This window comes from Homo sapiens, chromosome 1, assembly GCF_000001405.40.
Source record: "Homo sapiens chromosome 1, GRCh38.p14 Primary Assembly".
Taxonomy (NCBI): domain Eukaryota; kingdom Metazoa; phylum Chordata; class Mammalia; order Primates; family Hominidae; genus Homo; species Homo sapiens.
In genome coordinates, this window is record NC_000001.11 from 154,868,965 (window position 1) to 154,880,449 (window position 11,485).

Here is an 11,485-nt window from a genome sequence, read left to right on the forward strand (position 1 = left end):
TCAATCCCTCTCTTGCTACCTACATATTCCTTTTGTTCAAGGTATAAAGAGAAACCACAGCCCCTACCTTTGAGTACAAACCCCAAGAGAGCTCGGTCTCTATCACCATAACAACAATTCCAAACATCCCAAAAATCAGAGCATAGTCACTCAGTCGCTTTCTCTTTTCAAACAGGGCCCTCCTGTGTCCCAGCTTATAGCCAATGTTTTGGTTTTTCCGCTTGTTGGCTTTGGGGAAGGTGGTGCTGCTGGCGGTGGTGCCGGCATGCTGGTGGTTGTGGGTGGCATTAGGGTGATGGAGCAGGGTCTGGTGGGCATGGTTGTCCTCCCGGGAGGAGATGACGATCTCCGGGGGGTTGCTAGGGCTGAAAAGCTGGAGGGGTTGGCCCTCAGTCTCGGCCTCGATGAGGTTCCTCCGGGAGGCGCTGAGGCGGCTGAGGGGCTTCATGACCCCACCGCTATACTTGCAGGAGCTCATGGCGATCTCCGTGAAGGGGTTGCTGTCCCGCCGGTGCACCAGGGGGCTGGCCTGTCGGTGCCGGCTGCCTCCGCCAGGCCCACTTGTAGCTGTGGAACTTGGAGAGTGGCCAAGCAAGTGGTCATTGAGATTGAGCTGGCTGCCTTGCCTGGAGGAAGGGTGGAGGATGGCGGTGGAGTTGGACGAAGGGGGGGCCCTGAAAGCGGTGGGAGAGGAGTGCAGCAGGCCAGGGTGGACGGGCTGGCTCTGGAGTTGGGCGAGCTGAGACAGGGGATGCGGTGGCTGCTGCTGCTGCTGCTGCTGCTGCTGCTGCTGCTGCTGCTGAAGCTGCGGAGGCTGAGGCTGCAGCGAGGGTCCCAGGGGCTGCTGGGGGGCTGCTGGTGGCGCTGGCGGTGGTGGCTGCTGCTGCTGTTGCTGCTGCTGCTGCTGCTGCTGCTCATCCCCAGAGGATGGACAGGGGCACTTGGGGTCTTCATCCAAGTCCCCCACCCCCGAGTCATGGAAGTGCCCAGAAGTGTCCATCTTGGGGCCTGGCTGTATTCCCTGCAGCACAAGCCCCCACCCCAAAGCCACCCTCGCTCCAAAGATGTCCTCAAAGAAAGCCAGGCATCCAATCTCCCCCACCAGTATCTTGGCTCCAGTCCTCTCTTTGGCTTGCTTCGGTTCTCTGGGGCTGCCTGGAGTCCAGACGCTGCCACTCAAGAATGCATTGTATTGGGCAGGGAGGGAGAGCAGGAGGGGAGCTTGGAGAAAGAAGAGGGGGTGAAAGAACTCTCTCAGGAGGTGGTCCTCTAGGAGCGTGTGAGGCCAGGCTCAGCTTCACTCCTCGCTGGCTCAATAGCTTCGCTCGCCTCCTCCTGCCACTGTTACATTGTAAGCCAAGCCCACTTATTAGCAGCTGGTCTCATTGGCTTGGCTTAACTCTCCAACCTCCTCCTAGCTCCGCCCCCCGCATAGGCTCCTCCCCAGAGGAGGGGCCTGGCGTCCTGGGCTCCGGCCCCAGTGGCGGCGCAGCGAGGACTGGGAACTGTAGTTTTTGCTCCCCCACCCCGGAGCTGAGCCGCTGTCCTCTTTCCTCTGACAGGTATGGCCACAACCCTTAAGCCCACGGCGATAAGGGATGTTCGCTCACGCTGGGCGATGGGGAGGAGGGACAGAGGGCCTCCGAAGGAGGGGAGGTGTGCACCCTGATGAGGGGGCAGACGGAGGGGAAGGCAAACATTTATTAACCACCAGGGTTTACGATAGGTTGTTTCACATATATTATCCGGATACAGTCTCCAAACACCCAAGGAGGTGGGCAGTATGGTCTCATTTACAAAGCCTGATGCTTAGAGGTGTTGAGTAACAACGTCAAGGTCACAGAAGCAGGGGGGATCCACACCTTCTAACACCCGGTGGATAAACTCACCTACCATTGACTGAGTGCCTACGCCTCGTGTTCAGGGTCCTCTCTGTTATTTCCAACCCTCACATCAACCCCACAAAAATGATGTCATCACTCTCCTTTTACAGATGAAAATTGGAAGAAGAAGAAGAAGAAGGAGAAGGAGAAGAAGGAGAGAAAGGAAAGTGGAAAAAACACTCAAACGCTCAAACATAGATATGTAACTTGTCAGATGTCATCCCGCTTGTAATTAAAGATGCTGGGATTTGAACTTAGTCAGTCTGACCCCACAGATCAGATACTTTCTCCCAGGATGCATTTCCACTATGATATTCAGTACAAAGTGGTTGTTCAATAAATATTGTTCAAATGTTAGTTGGGGAAAACAAAAGAGAAGCTGCTGAGGAAGAACTGGCCTCTCCAAAGCAGGGTGTGTGAAGTGGACCATGGCTCCAGCCCCTTCCCTAACAGCTGGGTGTGTAGTCACAGGGGGATCTGGCAGGAAGACTGAAGATTCCCCCATGGTCATTCCCTGCCTGATTTGCCCCATGGGGCTCTGAGAGTCAGAACTAGGAACAGCTGCTGGCTTCCCAGGTTCAGAACCATCATCATCAAGTATTTATTAAGCCCCCACTGTGTGCAGAGGGGGTTCCAAAGGATGGGACCAGAGCTGAATTCATTTTCATTTCTAACCACAGCAGCCTTAGGAATCAGAAAGGAAGTCACCATGAGGGAATTCCCCAGAACACCTGGGGTTTTAAAAGGCAGGCCTCTTCCTCTCTGGCTCTTGATTCCCCATCACCCTTTGGCCTCTGTCCAGCTCCCTCCCTCGATGGGAAGAGGAAAGGGTAGGAGATCCATGCACACATACACAGACACACATCCAGAAAACATGTAAGCAGGTGGACATATGTGCACATGTGTACATGGTTGTGTGCACACACTAGCCCATGCATGCACACATGCACACATATACACATAGGAAGCTCCTAAAACAGCATTCCTGACTGGTAAGCAGCAAGTGTCCAGATCAGGGAGGGACAGAGCCCCCCCAAAATGAGCCCAGAGTCCCCTCTGTATATCAGTTCTCACCTCTCCAATCCCCCATTAACCCTGATGATTGAGAGCTAAATATTACTTGTAATACAAGCCACGACCCCAGATACGTGACAATTACTCTTGCACAATAATCTTGATTCTGGCCAGGCATGGTGGCTCATGCCTATAATCCCAGCACTTTGGGAGCCCAAGGCAGGAGGGTTGATTGAAGTCAGGAGTTCGAGACCAGCCTGGACAACATAGCAAGACCCAGACTCTACAAAATTTTTTAAATTAGCTGGACATGGTGGCGAGTGCCTGTAGTCCAGCTACCCAGGAGGCTGAGGGAGGAGGACTGCTTGAGCCCAAGAGTTTGAGGCTGCAGTGAGCTGTGATAGCGCCACTGCACTTCAACCTGGGCGACAGAGTGTTACCCTGTCTCTAAATATATATATATATAAAATAATAATCTTGATATCAATGACATAATCATTTCCCCTACCCCTGCCAACACACACACACACACACACACACACACACACACACACACACACACACACACTAGAAGTCACAGTACCAGGCCTCAGATGCAAGCCTGGGGTCTCATGTGTTTTCCCATGACCAAGCCCTCTAGAACCCACCCCCAACCCCTTCAGCATCCTCTGCCTTCCCTGCCCTTCCCTTCTGTATTCTTGATTTCCCTCCCTCTCCTCCATCCGCAGACAGAGCCACCTGCTTGGTTCAAGGCTCCAGATCGCATACTTAGGTTTAATGATCCTCTAATAAATTATCATGAATATGTTGTTAGTAGCAAAAATGTGCTGTTCGTGTTGGTTTTTTAGTGTTGGATACAGTTTTCTGGGCTGTGAAAAATCAATTTTGGAGAACAGGCTCCAGGCCTGGGTATTCCTATGCTCACTCTACCCCCATGAGCTGCCTTCTGCCTCAGCTAACCTTTCTGGCCAGCCTCTTGCCTCCAGTTCTTCTGGCTGTGCCAATGGGATCCAAATGGGGCCTATCAGAGCACGTCCTGCCATCATGGATAAGGATGAAAGATAGCTTGGGTAGAGCCCTAACTATGCCAGCACCAAAGATCAGTGGTTATCTGGAAATGGGCTGGAACTTGACAGCTGATGCCACGGAGCCAGCTCATGCCCCTTGTTACAGCTATCCTGTCATGAACAGGAGGAGGAGGACAATGTCATGTTTAGAGCTTGGGCTCAAGTGTCAGACTGCCCAGGCTGGAACCGTTCTCTGCTGCAGGGATGGCTGTGTGACCACAGGCAAGATGACCTTCTGATCATCCATACACATCTCTTCCTAACTCCACAGTGATGTCACATTAGCAGCTTGAAATCAGCCATGATCAGAGTATTTACACCACAGAAATCGGCTAACACTGTAAATTAGAGCTTATGTTTTCCTGGAAGCCGCTTGCTAAATCTTTCCTGGCTGTTCAACATTTATCAGCATATTACTGCCTCCTATATCATTACATACAGGCTGTGCGCTCCACCCTCTGCCTTCCTTCTCACCAGCACAAGCTTTGCCACTCGCCCACTTTGTGACCAGTTGCTTATGTTCTCAGGCCTTCAATTTCCTTAGTCCAATGAGAGCACCGGCCAAGTACTTTGTAACTGTCAAGCACCGACAGGTTAGTGAATCAGCTGGGAGCTCTCAACCACAGGGCCTGATCATGTCAGGTTTTCCACGTTGCCCTCCAGATGCACCGCACTCAGGCGTCTTCCCGCTGTTGCTGCCTGTCCAAAGCCCCACTGTTGAAAAGCCCCCAATGCTTCCCTTGGCCCCCAGCCACAACCATGTCTTCACAGCAGCCTGTGAGTTGAGGCCATCACCCATTTTATAGATGAAAAAACTGAGGCATTAAAAAGATTTTAAAACTTGCCCAGAGTTACTAATTAGTAACTAGCCATAAAGCTGGAATCAAACCCAGGCCTGTCCAACCTTTTGACAAACCCTCGCCATATGTCCTGAAACCCAAATTTAAAGGATTCATTCTTACTGGTGTTTATTAAACATTACCATGTGACTCACACACCCAACCCTCAGGAACTTAAAGTCTCACTGTAGAGACAAGTTATACTTACATGGGGTGACAAAAAACAGCAATGCAGATCCCAAAGTGTGGGCGAGACAGTAGAGTTCATTGAAGGCAGAGGGTTGTCAAGGGTGGCTTCCTGGAGGTGGTGGGACTTAAGCCACACCTTAAGGAATGGGGAGCAACTCCTTATGCTGCCCTAAGATGACAGGCTGACAAATTAGGCCTCTTTAGTCTGCAAACGGGGGTGTGGAGGAGCTTCTTACCTCAGAGAGACAGGAAGAGCAGACAAGGAAAGTAGGGGTGGCCTTTGGCCATACTGGCTCCACATCAAGTGTACTGGCACTCGGTTTCTGCCCTCCTTTCCAGGCTCATTCCTCACCACCTTCCTCCTTAAGCCCCAGCATCACCGACCTATTGTAGCTCTCCCGTAAGTCATGCTATTTCACATCTCCATGCCCTCTGCCTGGCATGCCCTTCCCCCAGATTTCCATCTAACACATTTCTCTTTGCCTTTCAAGACATGGCTCAAAGGTCTTCTTTCTGAGAAGCTTCCCCTGAACTCCCCAAACCCAAATCAGGAGCTCCTTCTGTATTTTCAGTGCCCTGTGCTAACAGGGCCTCTACGGAGCAACACAGCTGTTATCTCCATATGTGTCCTTTGCCCATAGACCATGACCTCCTTGAGGGCAGGGATGATGTCTTCTTCACAGCTGTACTGCAGCTCTTCCGAAGAGCCGCTTACAATAGATGCTTAGTAAAGATTAATCGAACTGACTAAACTTGAAACCTGGATGAGGTCATTTGAAGGCAAGTAAGGGAAAGTCACAGTACTTTTCACAACAAATCATAAACACAATTTCCTCATCCGTAAAATAGTGAGATAAAAAAGATGATTTCTAAGATCACTCAGCTTTAAAATTCCATAATCTATTGTCTGTAGACCTTGTTATCCCCAAAAGGTAGAACTAACTGAAAATAGGTTTAAGAAAAGTAGTGGTTCATGGTTTATATGGCTGTCTTTCCCACAGGCTGTGACCTGCATAAAAGGGCTCTAAATTTTTTCAGTATCCCCAACACTGATCACGGTGCCTGGCTATGAATTACTCATTAAAGATTTATTGGTCGGACCTGGTGGCTCACGCCTGTAATCCCAGCACTTTGGGAGGCCGATCACAAGGTCAAGAGTTCAAGACCAGCCTGGCCAACATGGTGAAACCCCGTCTCTACTAAAAAAAAACATACAAAAATTAGCTGGGCGTGGTGGCGAGCGCCTGTAATCCCAGCTACTCAGGAGGCTGAGGCAGGAGAATTGCTTGAACCCAGGAGGCGGAGGTTGCAATGAGCCAAGACCATACCACTGCACTCCAGCCTAGGCAACAGAGCAAGACTCCATCACAAAAAAAAAAAAAGATTTATTAGACAGATGGATAGTAGGATGGATGGACAGATGGACGTGTGGATGGGTGGATAGGTGGGTGGATGGATGGATGGATGAACGGACGGATGAATGGGAGGATAGATGGGTGGATGTATGGATGTATGGATGATGGATGGATGGATGGAGGGAGTTTAGACACAAATGACAGATAATGGCAGGTTTTCTAGAAAAGCCAGTGGTGTTGGAGGGATACCCTTAACCTGGTAAGGATAGGGTCATAAAGATTAACCACCCCCTTTCTCAGACTCTGAATGGTTGGACAGCTTTAGGCTGAACAGCTCATTAGCCCATGTGGGTTCAGTCATTACTGTGTTCTTATCTAGGAGCTTCATTACTGGATTAATTAATGCTCCAATAATAAAAACAAATCCTGTGTTTGCAGAGCACTTTATAGTTTTCCAACTGCTTTTATGTAAAATATTTCATTTGCAACTCTTGGCAGCCCTGGAAGGCTGGCTGGGGAGGTTCTATTGCCTCATCGTTGCCACTCTTACTCCCATGAACTAGAGTTTAGAAAGGTTTCAGTAGTTTGCTCAAGGTCACCAGTTAGGCATGGATTTGAACCTGGGTCTGTCTGTGCTCTTTCCCATCCATTCTGCCTGGAAAGCCCTTCCAGCCCACCTCTTGCTCTGTGTCCTGTCCTGTGAGAATTTAGGGAGCAGCACAAGTGCCACCCCTGCCCAGAGCTTTCCCTGACCTCCCCTCCTCTCCTCCCTCAATTTGACATTATCTCCCTCTTCCGAATTCCCTTGGCACTTTATTGTATCTCTCTGGGGACACTGTTCACCTCTTGCTTTGTACTGGTGTTGTCTATAGATATATGTCTTCTCTCCCCTGATTTTATCATATATATATACAGAGAGAGAGAGAGAGAATCTGTTGCCCAGGCTGGAGTGCAGTGACGCGATCTCAGTCTTGGCTCACTGCAACCTCCGCCTCCCAGGTTCAAGCGATTCTCATGCCTCAGCCTCCCGGGCAGCTGGGATTGCAGGCGCCCGCCACCACGCCTGGCTAATTTCCCTGATTTTAATTGACACCATAAGCTCCTTGGTGACAGGAGCTTATGGTATAAATTGGAAAACACACACACACACAAAACACTGCACTTCACGCTGCACCCAAATTGTGTGTTGAATACATAAGCAGGTAAGAGGGTGAGTGAGTTTAGCCTGACTGAGAGTTTGGGCACTTTGACCCAGGACACATTACTTGCCCCTTACTTGCCCGGCTGGCCACCAGGAATGCCAACTGGTAAGTGTAGGCCTTCTGTCCACACTTCTTTCCTGAGAGTCCCTGGATGTCTAGACCCTGGGTGAAGCCTCTTATAATGAATGCCCACCTAACCCCTGCCCCTGCAAGCCATGATCTGAGGAGCAAGGTAGGACTACAGCATGTCACCTGTCCCCTGGCCACGCACCAACAACTCTCAGCCACCTATGGGTGCCAAGGAGTCTTCAGCTTCACACAGGCTCCTCCCCATACTCTGCTTTGCTAAAGAAAAACTGGAGCTCTTTTGCATCATCTGAGTGTCAAGGTAAAGGGGACATACGGCCTGACTCCCTACACTTGGAGCATTTACTGAGGGCCAACTGTGGGCATTCATGGTTCCAACACGCCAGGGAGTAAAGTTAGTATGCCCATTCTATAGATGAAGAAACTGAGTCAAATTTCAGAGAAGGTTAACTGGCCTGCTCTTGTTCACAGTGGGAGGGGAGAGTCCAAGCCATGAGCCACACAGGTCTATGCGCTCTGAGAGGTCACAACCTCTCCACTCAGCCTCTGCTACTGAACTTCATTGCTTTCCAGAGAAAGTATCCCTCCTGCCCACCACTCCCACCCAGGTCCTCCATGAAACCCCCTCTAACAACAGGAGTGGGAAAAGGTTTCAAAAGAGCAGCTCCATGGAGATCTGTCTGGACAAAGGTTGGTGATTCTGCTTCTAAAACTCTGCAGAGGCCAGGATGGCCCTAACATGGAGAGAAGACAGTGGAGTGGCCAGGCCAGGCCAGGCACCAGAGCAGTCTTGGGCTGGGAATCGGTCCATCTGATTCCGAGTTGCCATTTTCCTGCCAGGGACCATGACGAGCAAGGTGCGCCCCTCTGAGCCTGTGAAACTGGGATCGTTCACACCTCCTGCACAGTTGTCTTGTGAAAACTGAGATACATTTTAAAATGTGTCTCCTGACCCCTTCTCTGAGGCTTTGGTGTAGGAACTTGTTGTTCTAACCAGATGAGTCAGTCCGGATGGGAACGTTTATTTACTTGAGGGAGTCAAAGGTCGAATGGAAGGTGCTGATACCGTGTCTGGAAAGAAGGCATGGGAAATGGGCACAGGTTGCCAACATTCTGTCACCAAGATGCCTGCCGGGCTCACAGGGAGCCAGTGGAGGTGCATACTTTGCACACGGTGAAGTGCTGCCGACGTGCACTGGCCAGTACAAGAGAGGGGTCTGTGCAGACCCCTGACTGACAAGGGCTCAGCATGGAAGCCTCGGCCCCAGAGTCTGGGTAGGTCCACTGTCTGCATGGGGCCGACTCGGTAGAGAGAGCCATCACTTGCCATCCTGGGTGCGTGTGTCCTGCCCAGCCCCACACTGTGGTGTAGGTGATGACACCCACCCCCACTGGAGACTTGGCTCCACAGGGTGGGATTTGCGTCTATTTTATTCACTGCTATAACCCCAGTGCCCAAAACAGGGCCTGTCATAGAGCATGTTCTCAATTCAGATTTGCTGAATAAATCAGCTTCCTGGCCCCAGTCTCAAACGACTCACAGAAAATAAAAACTCTAACAGTTTCCGGGGAGAGGGGAGAGATACCATTAGGAGATATACCTAATGCTAAATGACGAATTAATGGGTGCAGCACACCAACATGGCACATGTATACATATGTAACAAACCTGCACGTTGTACACATGTACCCTAAAACTTAAAGTATAATAATAATTTAAAAAAAAAAAAACTCTAACAGTTTCCCAAATGCAGAACAGGCACCTGAGCAGCAGCCCAAGGGAGGGCCCAGACCGGAGCAGCCATGGATTCCTAGCAGGGAAGAAGGCGGCCAGTGTCTCGTGGGCCTGGATGGATGTCTCTCCCACAGGGAGGGCAGTGAGGGACGAGCAGGGCCGGCTGGCAGTTGAGGCCACAGCCCCCTGAGCCAGCCCCTCCCTGGACCCCAGGTGGCCAGTAGCAGATCCCCGCCCCGCCCTGGCTCTGAGATTGCGGTCCGAGCTGGTCAGTGCTCACCCATGGGGATGGGGGCAGAGCAACCTGTGGCGGGTTTGTGAGGAGTGTGGCGGCCTCTGCTGGTGGCGTATGCACATAGCTTCGCACTCCAGGCACCTTGGGAGATGCGAGGGAGCCCCCAGACAGCATCTGAACCCCGGCCTCAGCTTTCTGCTTCCTTCCATGGAGGCCCAGGGACTGGATCTGGTGCCAGAATCAACTTCTGTGAATATTTTGCAAAAGTCGCTCTTATTTCCCAGGCTTCCTTGGGTTTTTTCACCATTGGGGAAGAAGAAACCATCTGTTGTCTGTCCCGGGTGAGGGCACCATAAAGCCTTTGAATGAGAGGGCTGGACAGGATGCCAGAGGCGCCTCCAGGCCCACCACCCTATTAGCAAGAGAAGACCTCCGGAGATGGGAGGGGACTTGCCTGTACTCATTCGTGAGTCAGGCACAAAGCCGGGACTCGAGCCCGGCCTCCGCGATGGTCCCCTTCAACTGGTCCATCATCTCTCGGTTGCTATGGGGCATCCACCAACACAGCTCCACTCCCGGTTGCTGCTGTGAAACGAGGGAAGAAGCCCCCTCTCCCCTCAGCACAGCCACCAGGCACAGTCAGGAGCTGCAACCTGGGTGCCCAGCCCTCTGACAGGAATCCTGCAGAAGGCCAGGCCCCTCTCCTGCCTCCCGCCCTTGTTTTGCCTCCCTTCGCTCCTGGGAAAGGTGGCAGCCGGAGGGTTGCTATGGACACCGCAGTCGGGCTCTCCCTCCGCAGTAATAATCCGAAGATGCCCTCCCTGCTGGAGTCCAAGTCTCTAATTGCCGAGCCTCAGAGGCAGTGATGCTGCCGCACAGGAAGTACTGGGCAGCTGGAGAACCCAAGGATTAGATGGGCTGAGAAGGGAAAGAGAGAGTGACAAGATGGAAATCACCTGAAATTGGAAGCAACAAGCTTGACCTATGTAGGTAGATTGACAAAACCAATGTCGATTTAGCCAGAATTAGAAAAGCAATAGCGTCTTAACAGGCCCCCCATCAAATCGGACACCTAATCACTGTGGCCAGCGTCTCTCAGGTGGGATGCTGAGTGGAAAAGGAGGGAGAGGAGAGGCGCCACAGCTGTGTACATGGGCAGTGACTGCAGGAAAGACCTTGACAGCCATTTTGCTCTAATTTGAGAACCACAGGTCCAGGACTTTTCTGAGCTGGATTCCTGGCCACTCTGCTGCCTTGAGGCAGAAGCACCCTGGCTCCCCACTGCCACACAGGCCCCCTTGTTTGTCCCGACTGGGAAACCAGATCATTATCACCACTGCTAGTCTCCCCACCATGAAAACAGAGCATGCTCCTTACCAGGGTCTCTGCCATGAGACCAGGGCATACCACCTCCATGAGCAGCCTCTCCAGGGGATCAGGACACTGTCACTGCTGTTCTGTCCCCACCATTAGACCAGAACTTTTCCTTCACTGTTGGGCTCCCCACCTTGAAATCAGAGCATTGTCACCTCTATTCATGTGACACCCCACCTACCCACCTACACATCAGACCAAGTCACCAAGGCCACAAGACTTTACACAGCCACAGACATAGGTCCAATGTGGAGCATCCAAACCAAAGATCACATGCTACTGGGCAGAGCAAAGTTGGTCTCACCTCCAGAGCCCGCAGGGCCACACAAACCTTTATAGAGAGGGCACAGAGGGAAGTGCGCTAGGCCCTGCAATTCACCCCACATGTCTGTGGCCACTGGGTTTGCCTTCTGGAGGCTGTGCTTGTCTCACGCAGACCCTAACGCCTGGTGACATTGGGGCATAGCCATGAGGAGGACAAAGTTAGATTTGCTCCACCCTGACC

The 11,485-nt window shown here is 51.6% G+C and overlaps 1 protein-coding gene across 2 annotated transcripts in view, besides 5 other annotated features; it reads right to left on the reverse strand.

The window, feature by feature from the left end:
• KCNN3 (potassium calcium-activated channel subfamily N member 3) overlaps positions 1-1,317 on the reverse strand; it is a 172,827-nt gene extending 171,510 nt beyond the window's left edge. For both annotated transcript variants that reach the window (NM_002249.6, NM_001204087.2), the window contains exon 1: positions 68-1,317. In NM_002249.6, the coding sequence (NP_002240.3) occupies positions 68-1,000 (933 nt within the window). In that variant the 5' untranslated portion in view covers positions 1,001-1,317. The remainder of the gene's footprint in view (positions 1-67) is intronic.
• Positions 1,068-2,024: an enhancer, noted in NCBI's record as "H3K4me1 hESC enhancer chr1:154842508-154843464 (GRCh37/hg19 assembly coordinates)". NCBI's record gives its function as "activates a minimal SCP1, AML or CMV promoter by ChIP-STARR-seq in primed H9 embryonic stem cells {active_cell/tissue: H9 hESC(primed)}" and the evidence as "EXISTENCE:reporter gene assay evidence [ECO:0000049][PMID:30033119]".
• Positions 1,097-1,186: an enhancer, noted in NCBI's record as "active region_1790". NCBI's record gives its function as "activates an Ori minimal core promoter by ATAC-STARR-seq in GM12878 lymphoblastoid cells {active_cell/tissue: GM12878}" and the evidence as "EXISTENCE:reporter gene assay evidence [ECO:0000049][PMID:35858748]".
• Positions 8,362-8,947: an enhancer, noted in NCBI's record as "H3K4me1 hESC enhancer chr1:154849802-154850387 (GRCh37/hg19 assembly coordinates)". NCBI's record gives its function as "activates a minimal SCP1, AML or CMV promoter by ChIP-STARR-seq in primed H9 embryonic stem cells {active_cell/tissue: H9 hESC(primed)}" and the evidence as "EXISTENCE:reporter gene assay evidence [ECO:0000049][PMID:30033119]".
• Positions 9,533-10,117: an enhancer, noted in NCBI's record as "H3K4me1 hESC enhancer chr1:154850973-154851557 (GRCh37/hg19 assembly coordinates)". NCBI's record gives its function as "activates a minimal SCP1, AML or CMV promoter by ChIP-STARR-seq in primed H9 embryonic stem cells {active_cell/tissue: H9 hESC(primed)}" and the evidence as "EXISTENCE:reporter gene assay evidence [ECO:0000049][PMID:30033119]".
• Positions 9,917-9,966: an enhancer, noted in NCBI's record as "active region_1791". NCBI's record gives its function as "activates an Ori minimal core promoter by ATAC-STARR-seq in GM12878 lymphoblastoid cells {active_cell/tissue: GM12878}" and the evidence as "EXISTENCE:reporter gene assay evidence [ECO:0000049][PMID:35858748]".